Here is an 18,373-nt window from a genome sequence, read left to right on the forward strand (position 1 = left end):
AAATGGCAGACACTGTTTTCTATTAGAGACATTCTGGATATTGTCCTATCCTATTTTCTAGAAGGATATGTAGTTTTCTAAAAAATTACTCACTCTAGGCAACCACTTTTTTGTGTTAAATAGGTTTATTCGAAAACCTAGTTAATAAGTGGAGAAAGTTTCACTCTGCAAATTAATGCAAGGCAAAAACAGCCTACATACGAAAATTGAATATTTGTAAAATTCACATGTTAGGGAAAGGATTCACCATTTTAACCTGGTTGACAATGAGAGCAACAATGTGGTATAATTTGCAGGGAAAAGGGTTGATGGAATTCTTAGTTCTTCAAGGGTGTCTGACAAAAACTGAGATATTGAACAAGTCTTTAAGCTTCCATAAAATCCATTTTTTTATTTTTATGGGAGAATTGATTTTTGAAATTATAAAAATAATTTTAAGATCTTTATTGGGAATGTTAATTTCATTCTGTAGATGATTAAATTTGCTTCATGTTTCTAGTCATTTTTTCTGCAGGATGTCTGCTAGCCTCAGTCACACCTGACATAATTAGTGGAACATTAAGATTGGTTCAGTTTTGGAAGCACGACATCACCTCTTTTTGTGACTTCTGCTTTGGGAAGGACGGAGAGTGTTTTTGCCCTGATTCTGGTGTGTATGTATATCCTGTTTCTTGAAGGTGCTGCTCAGTTAGAAATATCTCCTGGCAAACCTCCAAACACAGCATTTGTCAAGATCTTACCAATCCTCAGTCCCAATTGGATGAAAAATATTTCCTAAGTGAATTATTTCTTCTCCATTCAACGGGAAGCTGTTATCACCAACTTTATTGGAGAGTAAAGAAGAGGCTTTAAAGAGACGAAATCATACATTTTTCTGCCAGCTTGTATTTTTGATATCCTCAATATGTAGTACCCTACTTTATGAGTTTGGATACAACATTTCCCCAATTCCTTCCCACCCAGGCTGTGATCCTATCAAATCTTTGGAGGGCAACTTCAATAGCACATATCCTTATGAAATATATCATTGCAATGTATCTCTTTACTAGAATGTCTTCCCCCATGAGGCCTTGAGCTTTGTGAGGATATGAATTATGTTTTATCCATCTTTGTATTTTCAAGGGTAACACACAACAAGTGCCAAATCAATATAAGTTGAAATAATTTTTTTGTTACCTATGGTGGCTTAAATATATAAATTACTATTCACCTGAATGAGTTTCTATTTATACAGATTTTATATTTCCTTTGATTTCATATATTTTATTGACAATACATTAAGTGGGTTTAGTTTAAAAACATTTATTTAAAACCATTTGTCAGGGCTGCTGTTATCACTCAGATAAGAGAAGTGTACAGTTAGTTAAGGATAGACCAGCAATACATATTGTGTTGCCAGAATAACAGCCTCCTCCTCCTCCTCCTCCTTCTTCTTCTCTTTCTTCTTTTCTTTTTTTAAGTCATGGTCTCATTTTGTCACCCAGGCTGGAGTGCAGTGGTGCGATCATGGCTCACTGCAAATTCAAGCCATCCTCCTACCTCAGCCTCTCAAGTAGCCAGGACTACTGATGCATGCCACCGTGCCCAGCTACTTTTTAAATTATGTTTTGTAGAAACAGGGTTTCACTATGTTGTCCAGCTGGTGTCGAACTCCTAACCTCAAATGATCCTCCCTCCTTGGCCTCCCAAAGTGCTGAGATTACAGATGTGAGCCACCATACTTGGCAGAAATTTCTGAGAGAGTAAGAAAGATGTTATGCTTTGCACTTTGAGGATTTGGGGATTTGAGATTCTTGAGAGATAGTTTTCCTTGAGTCTCTTATGTTTCTGCTCTCCTTGTAGCATCTTTTGTTCTGGGTTGCCTTTCTAAGGATATAGGCATACCAAACATAAATAGATACAACGACTCCCTCTGGGGCAGAGGGCAGATTTGTTTGTTGTCTAAGGAAATAAAGGCACTGATTCCTTCTGGGACAAAGATTGGGCAGGTTCACCTGCAGTCTCCTTAAAAGACTGGAGTTTCCTAAGGTCATGGTTTTTAAGCTGTGACAAATATCCACTGTGTGTACAGCTTCTACCTAGGTCACTTCACATTACCTGATGAGATCTGGGAGGAGCGGAGGAACTGAAGCAACATGAAGCTCATGCTGCCTACTGTGCCTGTGTGATGAAGTCCTTCGTCTCTGGCTCGGGAGTCTCATGTGTTCTGCCAGCATCCACGAAACTCTGACAGGAAGGCTTGTTAGCTTCTAAGTAATGTAAAAATTTAAACTCTTCACAGTTCCATCAGACCTGTGTGTGGGGGCAGACACGCCCAATTAGATATGATCAAGAGGAAGGTACTGAAGGTCTGGTGCTCAGGGGACCAGTCGATCTAAAGACACAATTTTGTTAATTGTCATTATATAGGTGAATAAAATCGTAGGATTAGAGAATTTCAACCAAGAAGAGCATGCATTTTAATGGACAGTGAGTCAAGAATGGAAGTGAAGTCCTTTTCTTCTTTAGGTTATTGGTTAGAACTGGATTGTCAAAGTCCTGTGGCCTTAGCTGTGGGTGGGAAAGAGATGTGGGATCTGAAAATTAGAAACCATTTCTTTGGGGCTAAAATCAAAGCAATCGATTTTAAATTAATCATACTATTCATTTTAAAGCATTTTTATATAAAAATTTTGACAGGACTTTGGTAGAAGAAAAAATATGACAAGGACTTTGGTAGAAGATAGAAAATAAGAACCATCCAAAATGAAAACAACATTGATATATGCAATTAGCAAGATGTATCTGAGAAGCATGATGTGAAGTGATAGAAAACAGACACAAAAGACCACTTACTGTATCATCTTACTTATATGAAATCCTGCAACAGGAAAAATTATAGTGATAGAAAGTTGATCAGTGTTATGAAGACCATGGAAAAGGGAGGATGCTGCCTGCAAAAAGGTGTAGTCAAATTCTTTTGGGTAATGGGAATGTTCTTGATTGTGGTGGTTACACTACATATATTTGTTCAAATTAATCAAATTGTGCACCTAAAATGTGGGAATTCAATTTTATGTAAATTATACCTCAATGAAACTAATTTAAAAATTAAAATAAGTAACATTTTAGGGCTATATACACTTTATTCTTTTTAATGTCATGAAAATATCAAATTATGATTTTAATAGACTATGCTATGTAACACAACTTTCATATCGTGTTATTAAAATATTTTTCTTGTTGATCTTCTATTACCCATTGTTGATGCTTTTCTTTCATACAACTATTGAATTTATGGTCTTGGCATTATTTAAAGGAACTCATCTCATTTCCTTTGTGTCTCTGCTTTGAACTGACACTACTCCAGGGTTTGTACTGCTTGCTAATATGTCCTCTGAGTTATAAGTCTTTCCATGGCCTTGGAATATGTCACCTTAACAAACTGCTCAATTTTTACATGCTCATTGAGCTCTGAGATCTTAAGATGACAGGACCTTGATTATGTCTCAAAAGAGAAATAAAGTGGCCACTAGCCCTAAATACCAAAGGAATCTCCATGTCAATATTTGAGTCAGGCTATTTTAGAAATACACACCTAGTTGAAAGAGACTTACATCGTTTATTTTATGATCAGAAAATTTGAGTTCTAGTGCTGGCTATAAAATTAACATTTTCCTTGGCTATGACATTTAACAACTCTGCTTTTGTTTATCCTTAGACTGAATATAATTGTATCTATCACCTCAAACTGTGATCAAGAAGTAAGGAAACATATTTGGGAGAGCAATAATTTTTGAACAAATTTTTTTATTCAAAAATTTCTTATCTGGTTCCTATTAGAGTTATACCAGTTACTGTGATATGACAGTGGCTGGTTACACAATGTTAAGTAAAACAAATCCAATCTAAGTTCTCACATTGCTTCTGGTCTGGTGGAATGTAGCCATCATTCTGATGAATGCTCAAATACAGGATGAAATAAGTGCTCTAATAGAACGAACAATATTTCAGTGACAGCAAATAATAAAGTGATCTGACCTCTACTGAGGGTGAGTGGAGAGGTTGACCAATGAATGAGGTTTATCTGGGGAAATGATACTTGAATTGAAACAGGAAGGATGTGTAGGATCAATTAGGATAGGGGAAATGTAGGGAAAGAGCATGTCAGACTGAGGGTAACAGCAGAGGCAGGGTCCTGTGGCAGGGATGATAAATGAACCAGTTCAGCCAGAACACTGTGAGTCAAGGGTAGCATGACATCAAATGAAGAGAGATGGAAGGTGGGTACCAGCCAGGTCATGCAGTGTATCTTTCTAAAGGCCCTAGAGGTGAATCTATCTCCTTGCTTTTTCCTCTTGAGGCCCTCTTCCTCGATCTTCAAACCAGCAACATTTTCTCTGACTGATCATTGCTCTGACACCCCTCTTCTGCTGCCCTTTATTGCTTTTAAATACTCTTCCCCACATTTGAGCCTCACCTGGATAATTCAGGATAATCTCCCCAACTCAAGGTCTGTACTAATCACAACTGCAAAGTCCCTTTTGCCCTGTCATGTAACACAGTCACAGATTTGGGTGATTAAGATATGGCATCTTTTGGAGAGAGGTCATTATTCCGCCTATTAAATCAAATCTCCAGAATCTTTCTGTCATGGCTTTCATTAAGATATGGCTTTCATCAGTTTAATCCTCTCACTAATTGAATCACCATATAGTTGGTGAGAGTTATTATAGTCAAGTTCGATGCTAAAAAATAGACATGTAAATAACAAAATAAAAGAATAGATTATAGTTGGTTCTTGAACAATGCTGGGGTAAAGGAGGACAAATCCCTGCACAGCCAAAAATGTGTGTATAACTTTTGACTCTCCAAGAACTTGATTGCTAATAGCCCACTGTTGATCATAAGCCTTACCAAAAATAAAAAGTTGATTAACACATATTTTATGTTATATGTAGTATATACTCTATTTTTATAATAAAGTAAGCTAGACAAAAAAGATGTTATTTAGAAAATTATAAGAAAAAGAAAACATATTTACTATGTATTAAGTGGAAGTGGATCATTCTCATTCTCATCGTCTTCATGTTGAGTAGGCTGAGGAGGAGAAGGAAGAGAAGGCGTTGGTCTTGCTGCCTCAGGGGTGGTAGAGGTGGAAGAAAATCTACATGTAAATGGACCCACACAATTCAAGCCCATGTTACTTAAGGGTCAACTGTATATTACTCTAATAAAGTAAAGTCTAGGAGTCTAGCAGAAAGCATAGATTAGCAAACCTGCAATGATAGTGCAATGACAATATGTGGACATATAAATCAGACGCGGATGGAGGTGTGAGAGCATTCAGGAGAGATTTTTCCCATGGTGATCCATGCATTTTTGCCAAAGAGCATGTAAAAGTTAATTTGCTAAAGAAGGAAAAGTGCTCTTAAAATATATGCCATACTTTAAACAATTTAGTTCCCAAAGGTTTATAGTAACTATTAGAGTTTTATCTTAATAAGACCCATTATTATGCACATGACAATTGCTTTTTGGCATGGAAAATAACTTGGCATTTTTCAAATCAATACAAAATGTATGGTAATGGAAATTTAATTTTCTACCTATATCCTGACCAGTTTTTAAAGTCACTTGTTTTGGTAGAAAGTTATTGTTCTTTAAGTAAACTCTGTTCTATTTTAAGACAGATACTCCTGCACTAATCAAAAAACAATGACTAGAAATAATCACTTTCATAAACAAAGAATATATTCTCAAAAAACCCCCAGGAGGCTCTCCTCATTGCCTCTTCTCTCTTTCCTTCTTCACCTCCACCACCGCTCCCCAAAATGCACAATAAGCATAAAGACTGGGCTATGTGCTCCACTTACAAGCTCCCAATGATTTGGCCTTTCTGTTGCACTTAACTCTCCCCACATTGGAAGTTCTAATTCCCAACTAAGCTGCAAATTTTTTAAGGAGAGCTGTATATTTTCTTCACTTTTATGATCCCGCAATCTAGAAGACTTCGTTGCAAAGTCTCACAAAATATTTTCAAATTCAACTTTTGCAGAATGTATACATATTGGTAAGAAGATAATTAGCAACAGCATGAGGCAGTTTCTGTATTTATCTGTTTTGCTAGATGAGAAAGCTGAGGCTTACAAGGATCATTCAACTTCTTCAGGTTCTTCTTGCCTAATCCCAATGTGACCTGTCTAGAGAGACTTTCACTGAACTCTTATGTAATTTCTACCAGGCTTGGTTACATGAACTGAAGGAGAGGGAATGATGGCCCCTTCCAAAATCACGATACTTGAGGAAGCATCCAGCCTCCAAAATATAAATTCATCAACAAAGCATGCTTGCTGGAAAGCTCAATGGAGATGGATCAATTGCGCACTCAGACATTTAAAGGTGAAAGATCAATCAAAACTGCCTTTGAACAACTAACCTGCTTTTACCTCCTGTAACAATGTTAGGGAATTAGCACATTAGTCCACTTTGTTTTTGTCTTATTTATGCTTACAAGTAACTTAACAAATCCAACATTTAATATCTTCATAAATAATATGTTTTAGTTTGAGTTAATTTTATACACAAAAAACTCTTCTATGTATCATTAATATTGAATTTTAAAATGATGCAACTTAGAAGTCAGAAAAGACATAAATTATTTTCAATTTCGTGAAAGAGTCAAGAAAACAAACAAATAAACAGCAACCCAAACAAACCAGCCTCTGGTGAGTGTGTGACTGTGGGAATGAGCGCCCAAGTAGAATGTCTGCCATGTTTTGCTGCGTTGCGCTGGGAAGGAAAGAAGTGCAGGATTTGGAGTCAGGAAAAACTGCCTTGGTTTTTTCCAGCCCCATTCTCTGACTGTCTCATAGATTTAGTAAATATCAGGAAACCAGGCTTTAAAACCCTGTGTTCTGGAAGAGAAAAATCCTGTAAAACATTGTCTCTTTAAGCAGCAGAGTTAGGTAGATTGCCCAGGGTGACTCAAAATTCTCATCAATAACTTTCTAGTTATTTCAGGAATTTAGACCCCCAAGGAGGTCATGACTCCCTGCAACCTAGAGAGAGTTGTATTACTAATATAAAGAATATAATTGGCCTGAGGATTATATGGTTTGTGATTAAAAGAGGATAATTTTCTTGAGCCTTTAATTTGATCATGAAATTTTAGCCATAGGCACATAACTGGTGATAAGGCAAAAGGCAGGCCAGTGGTCCTACCCTGTTAAAAGTGACAGTTGCCTGGTCCCCACACTCATTAAAATGGATTCAGTAGGTAGAGAGAGGAGCTAAGTTTTACGTATATATTTAACACTAGATTGAATGGGAGATCGCATCCCAATGTTTGAATTCCATGGCTTTATACATTTTAAACGTCAACTGTGAAAACCGAGGGACTAATAATCTGGTTTATAAATTAACCACTGAGTAATTAAAACGTTTAGACTTTTCAGAAACCTTGTTGTATGAGTTTATTTCCCTCCCCGCCCTTTAAATTCCAAAAACGCACTCAGACTCTCTTAGCGTTCATTAGAATCTCAATTAGAAACGTAGCTATTTATTACAAGTTATGACAAAAGATTATGGCAGATGGGGAGTGGGTAGTAAAATTCTGTCATTTTAACATTCATATTTCCCTTAGGCTTTTTTGAATTTTCTCTTTTATTCAAGAGTTCCCTTAGAGATGTTACTTCAAAACTCCAGTCTCTTCAATCCCCTCTACAATATTTTCAGATAATTTTAAACAGTGTCTCTAGTTAGGAAACAGAGGAACCACGTATTCATTCTGGCATTAATTTCTGAGTTTTACCTCATCCCTTCTATGTTGTGATTTTCTTTTCTTTTGTTAATTTCATGAATGACAGTTAAAAAGAAAACATTAAAATTCTCAAAAGGTGCCCAAGAATTATGAAAGCATTTAAAACGGACTTTTAGACCTGGTTGATGCTTCATGCCCATGGCAATCTTGGCTAATGAGACCATTTACACTCATGAAATAAAAAAAATGGTCTGCAGAAAGCCATGAGATACATCTTTATACATTTAAATACATTAGCTGTATTATCTGGACGTTATTGAATTGCAAGGCCAGGCGCCTCAATTATTTGAGAAGCATATTTAAAATAGCCAAGCCCTAGTTAAAAAGAACAGTTTGAATTTTTAAAAGTTTATATTGCCAGGATACCATTTATTATGTTAATGATTATTCTTATTTAAAAATGGAACTGTAATAGTTCTTGTTGAAGTGGACCATTAAAGCTTATTTCCACAATTTTCAGTCAATGTAATGCTATACTAGAGTCTCATAGTCTTTAAAACATTATCTGACCCCAGTGAGTTTAGCCAGCTGAATTAGCTATTTCAGGATATTAAGGTACCACTAGGATAATTAAAGCAGGAAGTTACTTAATAATACCCCGGAGCATTCTTCAGCATCGAGGGGCAACTTGGAGAAAAGGTAGATTTAGTTATTCCACAATGTATATATACACTTCAAAATATCATGATGCACATGACATATATACAATTTTATCTGTCAATCTTAAAATGTTGCATAACTTGTCCAAGGTCACACAATTAGTGAGCATAGGTCTTGAGTCCAAGCACTCTGCATACAGATTTTATGACCCCACAGCTAAAACACTTGTATGTTGTGTTTCCCAGGGCTACTTCTACTTCAGAGAAGACAAGTTTTTAGCCAAAATAATAACTTAAGGGTTTATTAATAATTTTTTATTTCAAATATATATATATATGGAAAATGCAACTCATCATTTTATAAGTGATTTGTCTTTTTAATTTCCTATGCATTGTGGAAATATGAGCAAAAATAAGGCCATTCTAAGTAGAAGTCAAGGTACAAATAACTTCGGTTTTCCAATTATATCCTCTTCCCACTGCACCGTGGCCAATGATCCTTGTAAAATATATGGCCTCTGATCCTCATAAAATATGTAGATGTGCCAGTATGCTTTTATTTTTAAATTTTAATAGACTTTATTTTTAAAGCAGATTTAGGTTCACAGAAATATTGAGCAGAAAGTAGAGAGAGCTCTTATATGCTTCCTGCCTCACATATGCACAACCTCCACCACCGTCAATATTCCCCACCAGGATGGTACATTTGGTACAATCTATGAACCTATATTGACACACAAGTATCACCGAAATAGTAGTTTATGTTAGCTTTCACTCTTGATGTTCTATGGGTTTGAACAAATACATAATGACTAGTACCCAATATTATAGTATCATACAGAGTAGTTTCCCTGTTTTAACAATTCCTCTTAATTACATTTAAATTTAGAAAAATTATTCTGGTTTCAGTGCAGAAAATGGATTGGCACATGGAAGGTTAATGCTCTGTGTGTGGGGAGCTTAATGTAGGGGTCTCTTCTTTTGCCATTGTCACAATAATAATAATAGTAATAATGAACCAACTATTTACTAAATTCTTAAAGCAAGCTTATATGCTGGGAACTTTTAAAATACTTTATTACTGAAGAAAATGAAACGGAAAAGTTAAGCAACAGGGGAAGTATAACACAATTCCTAAGTGAAGCAACTGAACGTTGAACCCAGTTCTTTTCAGAGTCCCAGCTTTTGCTCACAAATGCAATATTCTCTTTACCACCATTACACTTTGCAACTAATTCTGATCTTCTGACCCTGAAGCAAGAGGCTTCTCATAGTAGCCTAACTAGGATATTGTTATTCTGGTATAGAAAATATCCAGACATTATACTGGTTGGGTACAGCTACTTTAAACTTTTCACCTATCCCTGGAGCAAGTTGGGTTAGGGATTTTCTATATTTTTCTACTTTTTAGTATCAGTTGGGACTATGAAGCCTAATAATTCAGTCCCTCTGGTAACCACCAGTTATTCTATTTTATCAAAGTCAATGGCAGATTATTAGTCCACATTTTACTTGTTCCTTCTGCAATATTTGAGAGTTGATCTCTCCCTTCTTGAAACACTTTCTTCACTTCATGTTCAGAACATCACATTCTACTTTCTTACTTCATTTTCCACCCTTTCTCACACTCCTTAATTCAATCCTCCATCTCTTCTCCAAAGTTAAGGTCTGAGGGGCCTCTAGACTTAGTCCTCAAAGCACCTCTCTATGTACACCAAGGGTTTACTTGAGATCTTCTAGTCCCCTTGATCAACTCACTGAATAGTGCAAAGATACATCTCCATCCCTGAATTCTTCCTAAACTCTAGAATCTTATATTCGACTTTCTACTCAACATCTTCACATGGAAAACCAATTGGCATCTCAAACTTAATATGCACACACTGATTACTTGACTATTTCTCAGACCAAGTCTGTTTATCCTTCAGTAATTTTAGAAGATACATTTTTAAGCCATATGATGAAACTTTTCTTCATCCTTTCTTGGTCACATCACATATACAATCCAGCAGCAAATAAAATTAAATCTGAGATCAAAAGCAACGTTGAATCTGACTGCTTCTTTCTCCCTTAATCTCCAGTGTCTAGTCTAGTACTACGTATAGGAATGGTGCAATACTAATACACCCATTTTGACTGACGTACCATAATATCCCCTAACAAGTACCTTCACTGCAAGTCATGATCACACAGCTTTCAGAGTGAGTCTCTTAAAATATACATCAAATTATGTAGCTTCTATGTCTCTATCCTCCAATGGTTAATTACACCATGTAAAACAAAATCTGAAGTCCTTTTCATGGACTCAGTGTCACACATGATCTGACTCCCTGTTACCTCTCTGATCTCATTTCTTACTACTCTTTTTCTGGTTTATTCCATTCCTATCACAGTGGCCTCTATTCTTCCAAGCATACTTTTACCTCAGGGCTTTATTACTTGTTCCCCTGCCTAAAACACCTTTTCTCTTGATGTTCTCGACGTTCCCTCCCTCATTTGCTTCATTCATTCCTTTGCTTCAATATTATCTCCTCAGAGATACCTCTTCTGATCAAGGTCTTTAAGAGAGCACTCAGTCTAAAATCTCACATAGAATTTTTTTATTCATGACTTATTCATTGTATTGTAGTCTATATTTTAATATGTATTTATGTTTTTGTCTAGTACCTGTCTCTCTGGCTAGAATGTTAAGTTCTACGTGGATAAGGACTTGGCCTGTTTTTCTCACTCCTATAACCAGAATCTGGGGCAGTGCCTGCCACATCCTAGGAGCTGGTTTCTTCCTCCTTCATGCCACTACCTCTCTGCACATAAGGACCAGATGTTTGGACCTTGGAGTTTTGTAGTCCTAGACTGAGTCTCTAGCTTTCATCTTATTGCCTGCCCCCATGGGCAAATTTGATATATCTCACTTTTCTCAACTCTAGATTTGGCATAAGAGTGCCCACCACCTCAAGCTGCTGAGATGAGAACTAAATGTAGAGCCCTTCTTAAAGTAATGAGCATAAAGCCTGATATATAGTAAGGGCTCTATAAGCGTTATTTATTATTTTTACTGATTCCTTAAGAGATCTTAAATTGAGTAAACTCAGTTAGTCTATTCTTTGGTAAAACTTTTAGTTAAACTTTTAAAACAATCTATTTTAGGTGCAATTTGAGATTGTATTGTAATAACAAACCCATATGTACTAACTATATATTAAAACAATCCCATCAGCCTGCTACAGTCTTGTGTTGCACTACAGTTTCTATTTTATTTTCTGTATGTTACACCCTTAGTGTTTAAGTTATACTCTAATTTACTTATGTGTAGGTAATTCCTTTCTAGCAGAGAAAAATGTGGTCACTTATAGGTAATACCTTGTCCTAAATTCTCATATGTTGAATGTTGTTGAGAGTGAGTCTCTTTGTTAAGATAAAGCATTCTTTTGCAGTTTATGAAAAAGTTGAATTTTTCCATTTCCATTTGAATTACTCTAATTCATATACATATCAATAGCTAAAATGTTTTTTAAAAAACATAGACTATAAAATTATTTATATAGAGCAGATTGCTAATAGAATGCTTATCTTTACATTTTATTTTAGAGCTATAGCCAATTATATTTAGTTTTCAGCTTAATGGAGTAAATCTCAAACAGAATTAGAGGTCTAAATGAGTCATCCAAATGTGCTGTGCTTCATAATATAACCCTTTAGCTGACAGAGGTTTCACTCATTGAATCATGTAAATGGATTTTCTATTTACTCACGTAATATCTCAGAAAATTATTGCTTGAAAGGTCAATAATATCAACATGGGACTTTTTAATTAGAAATAGTGGGTAACTGAGTCATGCTTCTAGGAATTTAATATCTCTTACATTCATGTATCTTGGCTTTTTATTGGTCAACTAATGGTGATAATTATTTTCAGCTCATCCTCATACAGAATTATCATTACACAATAACACCTATTCCTGTGTTTTAACCAGGTAGTTTTGGGAGTAAAGCCAGAAGAAAGGTGTTTGGTTCAAGCCCCTTACCATGTAGTTCTGTCAAGAGTCAGAACAGTCTCGCTTCTGCCACTAGGAGGCTTCGGAGTGGCATTTATATAATGAGATTCCGTTTTTCTCTTTGAAAAGAAAGGGTTTGGACTAAATTATTTCTAATATATTTTCTGTTTTTTTTTTTTTTTGACATTCTATGATGTTTCGATGTCTATTCACTGAATATACGGAAAGCCTCTGGCACAACGGGTATAACCAAGATTCTATGTGACAAGTTAATTCAGTGGTGGAATATCTATATAAATTTGGGATTTTATTGTATATTAAAACTGTTAGAAAAAAAACTCTCAGCCATATTCCAGAAAATTTGTAACGTAATATATTCAAGTCAAACAGCCAGACTGCTCTCATTACATAAAGACTGGGAATTGTCACATAGTTCCATGTATGTGTAAAGGCTGTCACCTGTTAAAAATGCAGCTATTGAATTGCATTGATTGTGTTCATTCTTCTTTAATAGAGTGCAAAGAGTTATTTTTTTGGTAAATAATAGTTTTCTTTTCAGATAAATAACCAGTTTCATCAAGAAGGTAAATACCAAGCCTAGAACTTTCAGAGGTGTTCTTGGAAGCAAAATTCTATATGATTGCTTAATAGAGAATTAATAAGTAAATATGAGACGTTATATATAAAAATGCATCTACCTTTTGGTGTTAAGAGAGAGTATGTTTATTAATATTTATAAATAACATTATTCTTTCGGTTGCTGATATATTGAGATGCTGGGAAATGCATTAGTAACTTGAATAGTTTTCTAAATAAGTGTTGAAGTGGTTCTCAGTGAACTTTGAGTTTCACTTACACAAAAAACCTTCACATTTTAAATTCGTAAGTATCCATTTAAATATGTTTAGAATAGAAGTTGGTCCCTGTAAATAAATATTACAGATTTTGTCTTGATTTTCAAGTTCAGTGAAGTCTATCTTGATAGTAGTCCTAATTTACGATTAAGCATAAATTAAATAAGTATTAATCAGTTTACATGCAAACACACTCAAATATTCAGATGGATTGGCCTTCGGTGTTTATATTTAAACAACCATCTCTTTAGCAATCCCTGATGATAGTTCTGTTACCGCAGAGAACAATAAAACTGTACAGATGGCTTAGCTTTATACATTGGCTTTAAATAAGCAATGCGTCTTTCTTGTCTTTAAAAAGAAGCAACTAGAATTCATTGATTGCTCATTATGTGCCTAGGGGTGAGACTCAATTTTCACATTGATAACCGTGGAAATAACAACTTTTATGCTTGAGGAAGAAGTCGGGTAGGTTCATCTTATATTCTATAACTGAATTCCCACTTCTGATCAGGTAAACTTTGGTTAAAATGTAAAAGGACTCAAAAGACTTTCACTTTTTTTTTGGAACAGAATCAAAATAAATGAACAGTTTGAGAAATGGAAAGGTTTGGAGTTTGTTGATCTAGCTACTAGATTGTAGATTAAGTGATGCTTAACATCTCTTTGAACCTTCATTTTGAGTGTTTTAATATTGAAATTGCACATGAACACAGCATCACACTGGAAACCTATTTTTCCTGCAAACTTAGGTAAATATTCTTCTGCAGATGAAGTTATTGGGTGTTGTAGAAGTATGTACATGCTGGAAATTCAGATTTACTCCATGACCTTATACAAACAAGAGATAAGATGCTAACCATACGTTGCTAAGGGAGGAGATGTATCATGTATTCTCTGTTTATACAGGAGACTAGACGATCTGGTTACCAGAGTATCTGGTGATCCATGCTATGCTATGACAAAATATTCAATTAAAGTTGCAGTGACATGGATGGCAGTATAAGAAATTCTTGATAAGATTACAAGCCAAAAAGTGAATGGTAATATAAAGAACACTACAAATCAAGACTTTGAAGTGTTGAAAACATCAGGACAAAATTGAAAATATTAGAATGGCTTTGTAAGACAGAGGCTGAACAAAACTATTCAGTTGAATGTAGTAACTCAGGGAAAATATTATAACATAAGTAGAATGTTGTTAACAATTAAATTACCCAGTTGGATAAAATAACTCAAACAAAGTTCAGAATAATAGTTTGGAGTAGCCTGAATTAAGGGAAAGGGGTGGGCTAGAGACAGAAAGGAAGTAAAGTCAATAAAGTAAAAAAAAAAAAAAGAGCATATTTTATAAATATGATTGAAGAAAACAATTTAGGGTATTATTGGATATTGTTACCAGCACATGTAATAATCAAATAAATTTAAATAATAAATAATTTAAATAATAAATAATAAATTTGAATAATCAAAATTAAAATGCAATGTAGATTTTGAGAAAGTTATATTGCCAAAGAAACCACAAGCCTAGACTTTTTTAAAAAGCCTCTGAAACTTTTATTTTACACATCTTTTAGGAATCATCCTTCTGTTGGGCCAAGAAAGATGTATATAGCTTGCCCAAAACGACATACTTCGAAGTGTTCGCCTTATATGTACAAAATCATGAGAGATGAGAAGTAATTTGCAGAAGACAGGAGTAGATGCTGTAGAAAAGAAAAAGACACAGGTAATAATAGGGCAAAATTACTACCAGAGGAACCCTATACTTTTTCAGTGTATTATCTGCAGGATTACAATGGTGTCGTGCGAAAATGACCACTGTTGTGTTCAGTTTATTTTTTTTATTTTATTTTTATTTTTCTGAAGCCTGAACTGAACATTATTTATACATCTTGGATTTTGAGCTGAATTCAGTGACTGGGAATCACATTGTACTGTCTCCCCTCAATAAGTTAATTGTATTTGCTTTGTGCGATGCCAGCAAAAGTGTGATTTTGTCTGGTAGAGAGAAGGCTAGGCTTCACCAAATAATGGTCTTCTCCACATTTTTCAGACTCTCTTGTAATTATGTATGGACCATATACTGGGGTTCCAGCCAATGTGAGGTAAGAGAAAGTGAAGTAAGGTACTTTGGGTCATAGTTCTCTAAATCATCTTGCGGAATCCTTCTGCCCTTTCTTCTCTCCACAATCCTGGTGCCATGCATACGAGATGGAGGAGATTCATCCAATCTCACTGAATAGAGATTTGAGCAAGAAGTAAACTTTTACTGCTTTACACTAAGACTGTGTGATTTTGCCATCAATCACAAGCTAACCTTTATTTAGACTTCCACTGTTGCTCTAGAGATTAGTTTCATACTCTCAATTTTTTGAATATCATCTGCTTTGGGGGTCTCTATGTAAAACTTTGTTCTTTGCATTTGGCTTTCTGGAGTTTTACAAGTTGTAAGTTTATTTTTATTATCCTTTCTTGAAAATATTTTGGGTTCTTGCATGTGAGGATTGGTGTCTTTAATTTGCAAAAATTTAAGACTTGAATATTGTTTCTGCTTCACTTTCGCTATTCTTTTCATGAGAATCAATTAAACATGTCAGTTTTTTTATACCATCTCTTCTCTCCCCATCTTTTGTCTCTCTGCCTATCATTTTCTATAGTTTCTTCTGACTTGTCTTCAAATTTATTAACCATCTCTTTAGCTGTTTTTAAACTGCTACTAAACTCATCTATTGGGACCTCTTAATTTTGTTACTGTATTTTTTTATTCTAGAATTTTAATTTTTCTACAAATCAGCTAAACTCATTTTAGAGTTTCTGGTTAACCGATGAAGTTTTTAAGCCTGGTTTTATCTCATGACTTTTTTTATTTTTTATTTTTTAGTTTGTGGTCATTTGTGATGCATCTCACTGTTTCCCTTTATCTTTGTATATCAGAAATGTTATTTAAGAAAAACACATACAAATAACATGAGTCTTAGGATAATATTCTCTTCCTCCAGAAAGAAATTTTGTTTACTTTTCCTACAGGTGCTGATGGTCTGGGGTCCTTGCTGAATTTCAAGGTTAGAGAATTTCTTGGCCATAAAATGTCATAAAGGCAGGCTATAGCTCTTGAGGCAGATGTTCTGGCCTCTCCTGACTACCAGGGCAAGGATTGTTTAGGAGTTTGGCTCCACACATGGCCTAGAAGAACTACTTAGTTCCCTAATCTTAAGGGTTATTGATGGTTACTTGATTTTTATGTTCTGATACAAAAAGTGTTGTGACTTGATCACTTGGAAAAATTCGAGGTCATAAAACTAAGCAAAGGATGTGGCTAGGATTAGGAAAGATAAATACATTTTTCCTCTCTCTTATTTCTTATAATTAGTTAATTGGGAAAAATTGGAATCTACTACTACCATAGCCATATCATAAATAAATCTGCATCTTAATTAAATTTTGTATTTTTGTGTATGAAAAACTACCATTTTTAACATGAACATGTCATTTTCAAGTATGCTTTTCTGTCAAATTTAAAGAACAATTTATATAACTGTATCTCTTTTATTCATATACTTGTTCATGTGCTAGATTGCGCTGAACTCATATGTGCAATGAAATACAGTGTATTGATAGAACAGATGATGTAGGATCATACTTTACAATGTGGTGACAAAATATGTCTAACTCTCTTTTGATGATCCATATTATATTCTTAAATTCAGCTCCATTTCTTTTGTCTGATGTCTATTTGTACATTTTCACAACACTGATTTTCTTTTAGTCTTTCAGTTTCCTCTGTCTTACAAATTACTTGCATAAAAAAAGAATCAATTTTAATCTAAAACCAAAACAACAAATATTTTGAGTTCCAATATTGTATCTTTTTTTTTTTTTTTTTTTAAACTGGAGTCTTGCTGTGTTGCCCAGTCCGGAATGCAGTGGAGCGATCTCGGCTTACTGCAATCTCCACCTCTCGGGTTCAAATGATTCTTGTGCCTCAGCATCCCGAGTAGCTGGGATTACAGGCATGCACCACCATGCCTGGCTAATTTATGTACTTTTAGTATAGACGGGGTTTCACCATGTTGGCTAGGTTGGACTCGAACTCCTGCCCTCAAGTGATCCACCCATCTTGGCCTGCCAAAGTCCTGCGATTATAGGCGTGAGCCACCACACTCAGCTCCAGTGTTATATCTAATTATGAAAAAAACCCAAACAATTGCCATTTTTAAGTCATTTCCAGTGTTAGAAACCAAGTTGTCAGGGTGGTTGCAGTCATGGGAGCAGGTAGTTAAACTTTTGTTGTTGTTTTGTTTTTTTGACATGGGGTCTCACTCTGTACCAGACTGGAGTGCAGTGGCATGATCTCGGCTCACTGCAACCTCTACCTCTCAGGCTCAAGCGATTCTCCCACCTCAGTCCCTGAATAGCTGGGACCACAGGTGTGCGCCACCACGCCCGGCTAATTTTTTGTATTTTCGGTAAAGATAGAGTTTCATTCACTATGTTGCCCAGGCTGGTCTTGAGCTACTGAGCTCAAGCAATCCACCCGCTTTAGCCACCCAAAGTACTGGGATTACAGGCTGGGCCACCACGCCCGGCCTAGGTAAAAGTATTACACAATTTTTAACAACATTTAAAATATCCCAGCAAAGCCTGATTCCAGCTGATTTTAAGTCTAAAAGTCGTAATTCGGTTACAAATTTTTTATTATCTGAAAAGGTCACCGTCATCTAGCAGAGAAACAATTGAAATTACAATAAAATGTGAGATGTTTGGAGAAGGCAAACTATTTTCTATAGTAAGAAATACAGTCTATTGATGGTGTTTACTGCCAACTGCTTAAGCCTCTCCTTTCCAGAATTTATTTAGAACAGATTTTTAGCTCTACTCTGGGATCTTTCTTACTTGCCAAAGAGAAATCTGAAATATTGAAAATAATTGTCATTTTGAAAGGTGAAAATGTTAAATCTGAATGTAGAGGACATTGCAGCTGTTAAAAATGTTGGTATAGCATCTGGCAAAGACAGCAACAGAGGTTTGCATTTTAATTCAAATGCATGGAAAGAAAATCAAAAAAGGAATGTCTGTTCATAAGTCTTGTGAAAGCATAGAAACTGTGTTCTGCCTGACAGA

Source organism: Homo sapiens, chromosome 18, assembly GCF_000001405.40.
Source record: "Homo sapiens chromosome 18, GRCh38.p14 Primary Assembly".
Taxonomy (NCBI): domain Eukaryota; kingdom Metazoa; phylum Chordata; class Mammalia; order Primates; family Hominidae; genus Homo; species Homo sapiens.